Source organism: Homo sapiens, chromosome 12, assembly GCF_000001405.40.
Source record: "Homo sapiens chromosome 12, GRCh38.p14 Primary Assembly".
In the NCBI taxonomy this organism is placed as follows: domain Eukaryota; kingdom Metazoa; phylum Chordata; class Mammalia; order Primates; family Hominidae; genus Homo; species Homo sapiens.
The window spans coordinates 132763097-132776120 of NC_000012.12; the positions used below are offsets into that span (position 1 = coordinate 132763097).

General features: G+C 51.4%; 1 protein-coding gene across 17 annotated transcripts in view, besides 5 other annotated features; it reads right to left on the minus strand.

Moving 5' to 3' along the window:
- Positions 4767–4816: an enhancer, noted in NCBI's record as "active region_7388". NCBI's record gives its function as "activates an Ori minimal core promoter by ATAC-STARR-seq in GM12878 lymphoblastoid cells {active_cell/tissue: GM12878}" and the evidence as "EXISTENCE:reporter gene assay evidence [ECO:0000049][PMID:35858748]".
- Positions 4927–4976: an enhancer, noted in NCBI's record as "active region_7389". NCBI's record gives its function as "activates an Ori minimal core promoter by ATAC-STARR-seq in GM12878 lymphoblastoid cells {active_cell/tissue: GM12878}" and the evidence as "EXISTENCE:reporter gene assay evidence [ECO:0000049][PMID:35858748]".
- The window catches only part of GOLGA3 (golgin A3), a 60168-nt gene continuing 52961 nt past the window's right edge, over positions 5818–13024 (minus strand). For all 17 annotated transcript variants that reach the window (NM_001389684.1, XM_047428706.1, NM_001389689.1 and 14 more), the window contains 3 exons: positions 12045–12209; positions 11061–11224; positions 5818–10198 (listed from right to left, as the gene is read on the minus strand). In NM_001389684.1, coding sequence (NP_001376613.1) covers positions 10009–10198; positions 11061–11224; positions 12045–12209 — 519 coding nt within the window. In that variant the 3' untranslated portion in view covers positions 5818–10008. The remainder of the gene's footprint in view (positions 10199–11060; positions 11225–12044; positions 12210–13024) is intronic.
- Positions 6445–6614: an enhancer, noted in NCBI's record as "experimental_26051 CRE fragment used in MPRA reporter constructs". NCBI's record gives its function as "activates a minimal promoter by MPRAs in K562 erythroleukemia cells, with activity observed for the non-introgressed 12:133346212 or rs13254 variant allele {active_cell/tissue: K562}" and the evidence as "EXISTENCE:reporter gene assay evidence [ECO:0000049][PMID:34662402]".
- Position 6530: a transcriptional cis regulatory region, noted in NCBI's record as "Neanderthal adaptively introgressed variant 12:133346212 (GRCh37/hg19 assembly coordinates) or rs13254 in the experimental_26051 CRE". NCBI's record gives its function as "modulates activity of the experimental_26051 enhancer by MPRAs in K562 erythroleukemia cells {active_cell/tissue: K562}" and the evidence as "EXISTENCE:reporter gene assay evidence [ECO:0000049][PMID:34662402]".
- Positions 8706–8905: an enhancer, noted in NCBI's record as "active region_7390". NCBI's record gives its function as "activates an Ori minimal core promoter by ATAC-STARR-seq in GM12878 lymphoblastoid cells {active_cell/tissue: GM12878}" and the evidence as "EXISTENCE:reporter gene assay evidence [ECO:0000049][PMID:35858748]".

Genomic DNA, 13024 nt, shown 5'->3' on the forward strand with positions numbered 1-13024 from the left:
CCACTGCACGCCAGCCTGACCAACATAGCAAGACCCCATCTCTTAAAAAATATCATTGGATGGTACTAATGGTTGGTTGGGCACTACAGAAGAAAGGGTCAGTAATTTTGAAGATGGATGAAATGGAAATTCAAACCACGATGAGATGCTGCTTGAAATCCACCAGAATGGCTAAAATTTAAAAATTGGCAATATCAAATTTTGCTGGCAAGAGCAAACACTGAGTTAACCACCTTGGAAAATAGTGAGGCAGTTTCTTTCAAAGTTAAACGTACACCTCTGCTGTATTCTGAGTGTCTGTCCCCAGCGTTCGTATGTTGAAACCCTAACCCCCCTTGGCCGGGCGTGGTGGCTCACGCCTGTAATCCCAGCACTTTGGGAGGCCGAGGCGGGCAGATCACGAGGTCAGGAGATCGAGACCATCCTGGCTAACACGGTGAAACCCAGTCTCTACTAAAAAATACAAAAAATTAGCCGGGCATGCTGGAAGGCACCTGTAGTCCCAGCTACTCGGGAGGCTGAGGCAAGAGAATGGTGTGAACCCGGGAGGCGGAGCTTGCAGTGAGCCAAGATCGCGCCACTGCACTCCAGCCTGGGTGACAGAGCGAGACTCTGTCTCAAAAAAAAAAAGAAACCCTAACCCCCAAGGTGATGGTATTAGGATGTGGGGCTTGTGGGAGGTGATAGGTCATGGGACAGAGCCTTATATACTTCCCTTAGAAGAGGCCCAAGAAGGCTGGGCACGGTGGCTCACACCTGTAATCCCAGCACTTTGGGAGGTCGAGACAGGAGGATCGCTTGAGCCCAGGAGGTGGAGACCAGCCTGAGCAATATGGCGAGACGCTGTCTGTGCTAAAAATTTAAAAAATTAGCTGAACGTGGTGGCACACGCCTTGAGGAGGGAGGATTACTTGAGCCTGGGAGGTCAAGGCTGCAGTGAGCGAAGATTGCGCCATTGCCCTCCAGCCTGGGAGAGAGAGACCCTGTCTCAAAAATAAATAAATAAACAAGTACGTACATACATACATAAAAAGGTAATTATGTAAGTCCTCGTTACGGAGCCTCCATACATGAAGGGCTTTAGAGCCGATTTGTTAAATGGTCAGCTGTAGTCAGCTGTTGACACCCAGCGTCCACTCTCCATTAAGTTATTAAGAGCTTTTTCTTAGTTACAGAAGCTCTCAGTGGGCTGTGGAGACGCTGCCGTCTCCTGAACACATCCAGCGACCACATGACTAAGCAAAGGCAGCGGAGAGTGGACGGACGGTGATGGACGCGGCCACGGAGCCCAAGCGCCCACAATGCGCATTCCTGTCTTTTCTCTCCCCGCTCACCTCAGAGCGGGACGGAAGGTGGGACTGGGAGAGCTGTTCTCGGGCAGGTGGACGCTGTGGATTAGCGGAGAGGGAAGGCACTTTCGTTCTCGGCACCGTGAGGCTGTCCTGGTCAATCCTGTTTTCATGCTTGAGGGTCTCTGGTGCAGCAGCTCCACCAGCCTTGACACCAGGACTTCTGTGGAATCCAGGTAAGCAGCCAGGGTCCTGATAGGGCCATGCCCTCACCCCCATGTAATGCATCCACTCCCAGTTAAATGAGAAAGGAACAATCACAGGAAAACATGGAGAACAACTCCACTGTTCAGAAGCCAACCCTATATTAGCTACTGTTTAGGTAGAAATGAAAAACTTTGAGACGTAAACTCCTGCAGGTAGAAGTAGATTTCCGGTGAATGAACAAAATGAAGCTTATTAGAATCAATGGCCTCTTCTGAGAGCCGTTCTGAATTTTTTTTTTTTTGAGACGGAGTCTTGCTATGTCGCCCAGGCTGGAGTGCAGTGGCGCGATCTCGGCTCACTGCAAGCTCCGCCTTCCGGGTTCACGCCATTCTCCTGCCTCAGCCTCCCCAGTAGCTGGGACTACAGGCGCCCGCCACCACGCCCGGCTAATTTTTTGTATTTTTAGTAGAGACGGGGTTTCACCGCGTTAGCCAGGATGGTCTTGATCTCCTGACCTCATGATCCGCCCACCTCGGCCTCCCAAAGTGCTGGGATTACAGTCGTGAGCCACTGCGCCCAGCCCTGATTTTATTCCTAGTTGTAATTTAACTTCTACTTCATTTCTGATCCGAGATCACAAAGGGGCCATGTGAGCCCCAGGGACTGAGCGGAAGCTGAAGTCTCACAGCTCGAGGATTTACTCCCAACGTGCTGGGAAAAGCCCTAGATGAGCAGGGAGTAGCTAATTTCTTTTCTTCCCCTTCTTTTTCAATATTAATTGGATTTCCTTAAAGGCCGTGTGTCTATTAAGTTTGTTATCAATGGCTATTTAGCACTTGTAGAAACCCAGCCGTATGTTACATACAGTAGGGTCTAGTCAGGAAAACAGCCCAGGCCAAGTGGTTCAGCAGAGGAAATGCAGGGGCAGGGACGGCAACCGCAGGACGCCAGAGGCCCTCAGGTGGAGATAACGGCCCTGAGTGGAAACGTACAGGCTCCAGAACCTGGTGGGACCTGGGCTGATGCAGGGGAATGAGGGGTTTCAGGGGAGCTACGGCCGTGACCATCAGACGCCCAGCTGCAGGGACAGGCAGGTGGCGGGGGGGGGGGGTCTGTTTTCTGGGTGAAGATGGGGGCATTTTTGAAAGCATTGGGAAGATACACTTGACGTATCTATCCAGTCTCCAGAAATGCACGTTTAACGCTCAGAAGGAAATCTTGCAACAATTGAAGTGCTGTGGGAGGCTCCGCGAGCAGAGACAAGATTGTCCTTCTCTGGGTTTCAGGGCATTTAGACATGACACTCAAAAATATTTCACTGTGGGCCGGGCGCGGTGGCTCATGCCTGTAATCCTAGCACTTTGGGAGGCAGAGGCAGGTGAATCACCTGAGGTCAGGGGTTCAAGACCAGCCTGAACAAAATGGTGAAACCCCATCTCTACTGAAAATACAAAAATTAGCCGGGCGTGGTGGCGGGAGCCTGTAAGCCCAGCTACTCTGGAGGCTGAGGCAGGAGAGTCACTTGAACCTGGCAGGCAGAGGTTGCAGTGAGCTGAGATCGAGACACTGCACTCCAGCCTGGGCAACAAGAGTGAAACTCCGTCTCAAAATATATCTATTTCATGTGAAGGTGAAATCCAACCCCGACGATGTGTAGAAAAGCCCAGCAATCTCCCGCAAATCCCTGAGCCGATGGCCGCGGAGATGGGTGTCCTGGTGGTGCTCCCAGAGCTGCCTCCCCAGGTGCCACCAGGACATGCTGCCTTTGGGGCTAGAGGTTCCCACCTCATCAGTAACGAGGGCATCGCCAGCCCTCAGCTGCCTTGGGCGCCCACAGTCGGCTTTCACGCCTCCCAGAGGTTCCGCCACCTTCAGCCCTCACTTCAGATGGAGTCAGAACTTAGAGATGTGGACACTGTGAAGGTCACCGGCAGCCAGTGGTGGAGCCGGGGGAAGGGTGTAGGACGCCCCCACACACAGGTGAAGAGGGCACTGCCAGGGGGAGGGCTGTAGGACACCCCCACACAGAGGTGAAGAGGGCACTGCCAGGAGGAGGGCTGTAGGACGCCCCCACACACAGGCGAGCAGAGGGCGTTGCAAACATGGGCAGAGGCGGCCCAGCAGCAGTTTAACATTGCCCTGTGTCCAGGAGAAAGGCCACTGCCCAAGTATGCTCTTTATCGCAACCTGCAACATTCCCCCTCAGACGGAAGCTTGTGTAGAGGCCGCCAAGTTCCAACAAATGCTCCCGACTGTAGACGCCACCAAGTGCTGGGACTTGCTCTCGTCATCTGGGAAAGGCTTGGGGACGCTGCCAGCAACTGTCATGTTTATCCATCAAGCTAGACGGCGGAAGTGCAGTCGTCTTAGTTTCCCCCATTATCTGCTTCCTGCTTTTTTTTTTTATCTCGAGTCTCAACTTTGTTGCCCAGGCTGGAGTGCAACGGCACGAACTCCACTCACTGCAGCCTCCACCTCCCGGCTTCAACAATTCTCCTGCCTCAGCTTCCTGAGTAGCTGGGATTACAGGCGCCCATCACCACGCCCGGCTAATTTTTGTATTTTTAGTAGAGATGGGGTTTCACCATGTTAGCCAGGCGGGTTTCAAATTCCTGATCTTGAGTGATTCACCCGCCTCAGCCTCCCAAAGCGCTGGGATTACAGGCATGAGCCACTGTGCCTGGCCTGCTTCCTAATACTACCCGAGGTCTCAGATTTCTGAGTGACCTGGTAATTTTTAAATCCTGAGTCTCCTTCATGCCTGTAATCCCAGCACTTTGGGAGGCCGAGGCGGGCGGATCATGAGGTCAGGAGATCGAGACCATCCGGGCCGACACGGTGAAACCCCGTCTCTACTAAAATACAAAAAGAAATTAGCCGGGCGTGGTGGCGGGAGCCTGTAGTCCCAGCTACTCAGGAGGCTGAGGCAGGAGAATGGCGTGAACCTGGGAGGCGTAGCTTGCAGTGAGCCGAGATCGCGCCGCCGCACACCAGCCTGGGCCACAGAGTGAGACTCCGTCTCCAAAAAAAAAAAAAAAAAAAAATCCTGAGCCTCCCATCAGCGATACGTCCTCTGTCCTACACTCAACCCAAATTCCTGACAGTACCTGCCGCCACTCTAAGCCAGGAAGAAGTGACCCATTCATCTCTGCCAAAACCACTCCTGACACCCACTGCTGAGCTCTGTAGCAGGACGCAGCGTGGAGCTTCGAGCTGCTGAGACAGACACAGCTTAAAATATACCTGTCAGTGCAGTGCCTGCAAACACGTAGCAACTCCATGGAGAAAAGGAAAAAGTTCAGATACATACATGTCCCCTTAAGGGTTCTATAGACCAAAAAAAATTATATCCTTAATATTTCAGAAAGTTAAGGCCACAGAAGGTGGTCAGGGAATTTTTACTCTGTGTAGCAATTCTCTGGGTACAGAAGCTGGTAACGCTCACAGGAAGAAGTGCATTAATCCCACAGGGCCAAGCCCAGCGACCACCACTTCCTGCCCCTTTTCTGTACTTTTTAAACCATGGTGGCCTCTAATAACGTCTAACTGAAAACTCTGTACCTGGTTAACTCTTTTTTTTTTTAGACGGAGTCATGCTCTGTCACCCAGGCTGGAGTGCAGTGGTGTGATCTCGGCTCACTGCAACCTCTGCCCGATCAAGCGATTCTTCTGCCTCAGCCTCCTGACAAGTGGGGATTACAGGCGCCCGCCACCACGCCCTGGCTAATTTTTTGTTTAGTAGAGGTGGAGTTTCACCATGTTGGCCGGGCTGGTCTTGAACCCCTGACCTCAGGTGACCACCCCCTCCCAGCCTCCCAAAGTGCTGGGATTACAGGCGTGAGCCACCACACCCAGCTTACGCCTGGTTAACTCTTAATGACCAAAATCAAAGTATGGATGAAAAAGACGAGAATCTGGGAAGTCACATTGCTGAGGTCTGAGAGTCATGACTCCACTGTCACCGGGGAGGCCCAGCAGAGGGCAGCACCTGGATGATGAGACCCAGTTCAGGAGGCGCAGCACAGAGCGGTCACCATCCTTCCCCGGTTCACCGGGAAGCTTGCTCCCCCTCCTTCTGTATTCCTGGCAAATGACAACGGGCAAAGCGAAGCGTGGGCCAAGGACGGAGGAGGCGGTGCCGCGCGTCTGCCGTGGTCACAAGCCACAGAAGTTTGCTTCACTCCTGCCAGAAACCGGCAGGACAGTAGAATTCTCTTTTAAAGCACGTGTTGAACAGAGTGTGTAATAACATGAGATTAAAAAGTTACTGCCAAACGACAAAATATAACTATTAAAATGAAGCTTCCAATGAATATGAAAATCTTTACCAAAAAATAGTTTATTGCACAAAATTTAAGGAATTCCCAAGCACACTTACATTTGTAAAAAATCAACGTGCTTTTTAAAGTTACACTTTGTCAGACACGGTGACCCCTTTCCCAAGAACAGCCACAACTTGAGGACTCTCTTTTGTGAGGAAATTTTTAATAAAAACAAGTAACTCAAAAGCACTGAATTTTCCAGACCCTCTAACACATTTCCCTCCGGATCCTGTGAGAGCCTGAGATCACTTATGACGAGATTCACCTGGACCTTCCGGTCAGTGAGCTCAGAACACCTCACACCACAGCGTCACTCAACTCAAGTCCCTCCTCACATCAGAGGGCTCCTCGAAGGGAGGCCCCAGGACGGTTCTCTCAGATTTGCTGGTCCCTCCCCTCCTAGAATCTTCACGTACAACATTCTGTTTTTGTTTTTAAAGACCTCAGGGAACTAGAACTCGGTTGTGGGAACCCTGCACCAAGGAGAGTTGAGGGCCAGCTCCTTAGCGCAGCACAGCACGGACTGTGTTCTGGTGGGCAGGGCCCCTGCTGGACCCACCCGAGGAGAGTCCATTTCACATCCTATCAGAAACACTGCCTGATCCATATTGCAGAGAGTGGGAACGGGTGTGAGTCCGTAAGACCCGTAGCATCAATCTCACATATACCACGGAAAAACACATGAAAACCAAGTTACGTTGTTTTTGGAACATCAGAAAAACAAGTAGTGACATCGTGAAGTGCCCTAGCCTGTTGTGACACACGGTGTGGGGATGAACACGCCGCCCTAGCCCGTGACACACGGCGTGGGGATGAACACGCCACATAATGCACTGGTGACCCTGTTTTGTAAGCAGTACTCCCAACTTCACTGCCTTTTCCGTGAGGATATTCCATCATTCCCACTTCTGCCCACAAGAACAAAATAATTCAAACTTTATGCACTGAAGTAACTCTGGAAGGTAGAAGTGCCGGGAGAGTCCCTTGGAGATAAAAAAACCTCAACAATAAAAAAAAGCAATTTAAAAATCCAACTGCAGCCGGGGGCGGTGGTTCACGCCTATAATTCCAGCACTTTGGGAGGCTGAGGCTCAGGATCACCTGAGGTCAAGAGTTCAAGACCAGCCTGGCCAACATGGTGGAACTCCACCCCTCTAAAAATACAAAAATTAGGCTGGTGTGGTGGCGGGCACCTGTAATCCCAGCTACTGGGGAGAATGAGGCAGGAGAATCGCTTGAACCCAGATGGCGGAGCTTGCAGTGAGCAGAGATCACGCCACTGCACTCCAGCCTGGGCGACAGAGCGAGACTCTGTCTCAAAAAAAAAAAAAAAAAATTCCAACTTCCTCTTTTAGGCGTCTTCTTAAGGAAGGAAGTGTCCGCGTGAACACGAGAGGCCTCAGATCCAGAAGCACAAGCCGTGCATGAAAACACCAAAAGACTCACTGCAGGGAGCAAAGGCAGCCAGGCCCTGCCAAACCAGAGGGGGCCCTGGCACCGGCGACCACAGAGCGCTGGGGGAGGCATCGCACCCAAGGGCACACACGCAGGAAAACCGGGGTGAGAACATAGAGCTACTTTTCCTTCGGTATTTTCAGAATTAGTCTGTCCTAAGAGAAAAAAAAATACATGGTGAACATCACTCACTTGAGGACTTCCCATAAGCAAGGAGAAGTCGCTCCCCACTGAATGTGTGATTTCTCGATTTTAGATTTTTTAAAATCATTTATTTATTTTTGAGACGGAGTCTCGCTCTGTTGCCCAGGCTGGAGGGCAGTGGCGCGATCTCGGCTCACTGCAAGCTCCGCCTCCTGGGTTCAAGTGATTCTCCTGCCTCAGCCTCCCAAGTAGCTGGGATTATAGGTGCGCACTACGACACCCGGCTAATTTTTGTATGTTTAGTAAAGACGGGGTTTTGCCATGTTGGCCAGGATGGTCTGGACCTCTTGACCTCAGGTGATCCACCCGCCTCGGCCTCCCAAAGTGCTGGGATTACAGGCATGAGCCACCGCGCCCGGCCCGATTTCTTGATTTTAAAATTAAAACAAAGGGGTAGTACAGCCAAAATAAATAAGAACGTAAATTGCCGTATTTTTTTTTCTAATGGTACAAGAACAATTTAGTAAATAACATCTTCAACTTAAGATAAAAAGTAGGATATATTTATAATGAAATTTTCAAGTATTATTTCAAAATTAACCCTGTACAAATGATATATTTTGGAAATTCCAATATTTGCTAGAGAATATTTTTTAAATACCAAACATCTTTGTGGTTAATGCTACCTTAACCTTACCAATTAACCTTCTAAAAGTATATTACAACAGAACACAAATAGCTTAAAACACACCATACTGTTTTCTCCACAAAACAGACACCAGACACCGACATGAGCACATCTGGCCTGGCCAGTGACTCAGAACCTCATTTCAGACCAGTACATCTGCAGAGGAGGCCACGCGGACCCATTCTCTCTCTCCTAACTCATATAATAAATATTATTTTAGATTTTCTTAGCAAACTAGGGGACAACTTACAGACCCCACCTCTCCCAGTCAGCCAGTGTCTGCAGGGTTTCAGGATTTGGGGTAGGAAACAGAAGATCTCACACATGTCGTGCTGATTTTAAATAAGGCATCTGTCTCTGAGACACCTGGGAGAGCACAGCCACCTTCCTCACGGTGCCTGCCTGTCTCTTCCGGAAGTCGCCTCTGCTTGCCACATGATGCTGGTGTAACCACAAAAGATCCAGGACTTCTCGATGACTGCAGAAGTACAGGTGCTCCTACACACGAGTACAGGCGCTCCCACAGACAATGGTAAAGATTTTCACTTGGGGAACAGGAGTGTGAGGTTTGTTACCGCCTGCGACCTACACCTGGCTGACTCCAGGGGAAACCGCGGGAGTCGCTGCAGGGAGCCCCTGGTCTGCTCTCCTCCTCCTCCTCCACCGGCCTCTCCCTGTGCCCCCCCAAAGGTCAGATCAGATATGGGGCCTCAGTGTCCTTGTGCCTCCTGATGGCCGTCAGGCCTGACCAAGGGTCCAAGCTGCCCCTTCCCAGTGGCCAGCCACGGTGGAATCACACAGGGCCAGTGGCCTGAGAGGAAGAGACCAGCAGGAAGGAAAGATCCTCAGCAACAAAGTAAAACCAGAACAACAGAGGACCTTTCTGTGTAAGAATATTTGGCTTTAGAAGGTAAATAAAATAATTATATTTCTTAGAATTTTCTGACTATCCCTAAATCCTGCAGGTAAATTATTCCCAACAAATTTTCAAAAGGCAATCAATAATAAGTAGGTTCTTCTTCAATAACATGAGCATATGCTTCTTAAAGACTGGGTGACAGGCCGGGCGCAGGGGCTCACGCCTGTAATCCCAGCACTTTGGGAGGCTGAGATGGGCAGATCACTTGAGGTCAGGAGATCGAGACCATCCTGGCCAACATGGTGAAACCCCATTGCTACTAAAAATACAAACATTAGCCTGGCATAGTGGCGCACGCCTGTAATCCCAGCTACTCGAGAGGCTGAGGCAGGAGAATCGCATGAACCTGGGAGGCGGAGCTTGCAGTGAGCGGAGAGTGTGCCACTGCACTCCAGCCTGGGCAACAAAGCGAGACTCTGTCTCAAAAAAAAAAAAAAAAAAAAAACAAAGATTGGATTATGATATTCAGTATCTATGTACACATCCTATGGTGGGATGGCTATCCAAAAAAACAAGTAAAAAGCCAAAGGTACAGATAAAATTTCATTTCTGCGGAAAAGTAAAGCTCTTACTGAATGGAACAGGGAAGTGAGAAACTGCAGCCGGCCTGGCCAGGCGCGGTGCCGCAGACCCTGTCACACAGCTGCTCCCAGTTACGCAGCCTCTCCCTGTCACCCGCAGAGAGCAGCATCGGTGGCCGCTCAGAAGCCACGACCTACAAGTAACCCTTCAGACACGTTCAAAGCTCCTCGCCGAGAGCCTATCAGGCTTTTAAGAGTTGGTCATTCCATGTGAAAAGCTAATTGTGATCTTCGAATGTTTTTCTAGTCCTTGGCTCTCATTCTGCTATATATTTTACTTCTTGTTAAAGGCAAAACAAAACTTAAATTTCATGTCTTAGAAAAACATCGACCACACAATCAAATAAATAACATTGATAAGAGCCTTCTGGGGCAGCGGCGCACGGAGGCGAGTCCACAGCAGTCACTCTCCCGGCCCTTCTTTGGAAGCCCTGCTCTGACTGTGTCTCTGTGGGTCGCCGCGTGGGCCGGCGTGACCCCCCGGGGGCACAGGGCTGGCAGTGGCTGGCTCCAGCGGCGTCCACGAGGACAGAGACTCGTGCACCGTCAGGGCGTGCTCCTCCATCTGGCGCTGCAGGCTGTCCATCTCCTGCCTGGGACAGAAGAAGGAGGAAGAAGGCCCAGATCACACAAGTGCCAGGCAGAACGCGCCACCTGTGGACAGCGTCACTCGCTAGCACCTGAGTGGACCGGGGCGCCTTCGGGGATCCGCAAACCAACTGAGACCACAGAAGCTCAGCTGTTCTCAGCACCGTTCTCTACACTGTGCAGAGGACACAGGCTCAAGGACCAGTCCTGACCAGGCGGCAGGGTGGAAGCTGTCACTGAGGCCTGGCACACACGACTTCCACTCCGTTACCTGCCCTCGGGGCGCCGCCTGGCTCCGCCCTACACACTTCGCTCAGCCTCAGGCTGCCAGGTGCACCATGTGTGGCCTTCCAGCTTCTCAGGGCCTATCAGGGTAGTTTAACTCCAGGCAGTTTCCACCTATGAGTTCACAGGCTGTGTGTGCGAGTTCCCCCACCTTTATATAAACCTCAGAGGCTGTGCGAGTCCCCCTCCCACTTTATATAAACCGCAGAGGCTGTGTGAGTCCCCCTCCCCCTTTATATAAACCTCAGAGGCTGTGCGAGTCCCCCTCCCCCTTTATATAAACCGCAGAGGCTGTGAGTCCCTCCCCCTTTATATAAACCACAGAGGCTGTGCGAGTCCCCCTCCCCCTTTATATAAACCTCAGAGGCTGAGTCCTTCCCCCTTTATATAAACCTCAAAGGCTGTGTGTGCAAGTCCCTCCCTTATATAAACCTCAGAGGCTATGTATGCGAGTCCCCCACCCTTATATAAACCTGCTGAAACTCTGCTGGGCACTCAGTACTGGCACCAGGAGTGCCCTCCCAGGTAAGAGGGCATTAATCTTTAAGACTAGCTGAAGTGCAGCACGGAATACGGTCGTACTTGAGCTGCTGGAGGCAGCTGTTCAGGTTCTTGAGGGGCTCCTTGCTCACGGCGGGCGGTGGTCTCAGCAGCTCCTCCAGCAGCGAGGCGGGAACTGGGCAGTCCGGGATCTTGATGGGCGTGGCAGGGTTGGAAGAGCTGGCCTCGCCTTTCGGCTCCTTTCTCTGTTTTTAAAAGCACATGATCAGCTTTCCCACCGTCCCCTCCCTCGGGTCAGTCTCACTAGCACAGCTTGTGGCAAACGGGCCTCCCCAACTGGTGGACGTGGGGCCTCTGGGAAGGGGACCGTCCTGGCCGCCGTGGCAGCCCAGCACGACAGTCCCCGGAGCTCCAGAATAGCTGGCTGAGGAAACACCTTTATTCCTAAGGCACAAAACCAGAGCAAAGCAGAGACAACCTAAGTCCTGGGTCTGCGGCAGGACGGGGCCGAGCCACAGACTACAGCTCTCCCAGACGCTTCTCCCATCAGATACTCAAGACCTTGATGTGGAATTTCCGTAAGAAATTAAGTAAGTTTTCCAGCTTAGGCTCCCTTTTCTGGGACTTCAAACTTTTTCCACAGATAAGCACACGACGCTAAACGGCCTCTCAATCCGAGCGCTGCCCTCCCACCTGCCTCCTGGAAAACATGGATGTGGACCGAGCACAGAAAACCGCCGGGCGCCTGGGCACAGCTCCCGGGCCCCAGCCCTTCACACACAGCAGGGACTGCCGAGTCACAGACCACCGCTCATCTGCTTTACAAAGCACATTACAACAAAGTGGTATTTGAATTCACAGAACGAGGAAAACACTGTTGGATGAATGAAACCAGAATGAAATGATTTCATCTGTCACCCCATTACCACTGACTACACAGCAGCTGCTCAGTGTGGGCTCAACAAATCCGTTTATGTCTGAATGACTAACACGTCTGCCAGCCTCCTGTCCGAGAGCATCTACAGCGCACGTCGGCTACCCCGGGAGGGACGCGGGCCTGAGTACCGTCTTGGCCGCGCCGCGGCGTAGGTCCAGCTTGAGCTGCTGGTTCTGCTGGAGCAGGGTCTTCATGTTGTTCTTCAGCTCCGACACTTTTGCCTGGAGCATAAATTTATCCTTCTGGGTCATGGACAGGTCTTCCTGGGCCATCTCCAACTCAGACTTGACGTTCTGTGGAAAATGAAGTCAGATTTTTAAAAGCTAACAGATCTTAAACATCCTGCCAAGATCCGAGTTTGTATTTTCATAGGTTAAGCACACACATGTCCTCCTCGGCGCCATCTAGATGATGCCAGTCCAGGTCCAAAATGCTCAGGACCAGAAGTGTGTCAAATTTTGGAATTTTGAATATTTGCGTTACAACTACCAGCTGAGTATCCACAATCCAAAAATTTGAAATGTTCCAATGATCATTTCCTTTATCATGTTGATGCTCAGAAAGTTTCAGATTTTGGATTTTTGTTCTTGTTTTTTTTAGACACAGGGTCTCACTCTGTCATCCAGGCTGGAGTGCAGTGGTCCAACCACAGCTCACTGCCTAAGTGCTGGGACTACAGGTGTGAGCCACCAGGCCTGGCCAGGTTTTGGATTTCTGGATGATGGACGCTTGTCGGCCTGTGTCTATAAATAAATTCTCACTGTAACTCAAGCCCCTCATTTACAAGGGGAACTTAGCAATTACACTCCTTTCCCGAGCAGTCAAGACCGAACCCTGAGTTCTTTGTTGAGAAGTTTATCGCAAATTGGCAAACTTTTCCCACGCACCCTCCCATTTGCTGTAGTCCATGAAATCACGTTCTTGGTCCGTGACACACAGCGCGGCCAAGGGATCGGAGCCGGCCCAGGCTTCGCCCCTGCCTCTGTCCTGCCGCATGACGTGGACCAGGTGGCTTTGCGAGCGCCCCACTGGACGAGGGCGCCAGCTCCCCGGGAGCACTGCCTGGCCGCAGGCCGCATGGCACAGGAACCAGGGGCTGCCCCAGAAG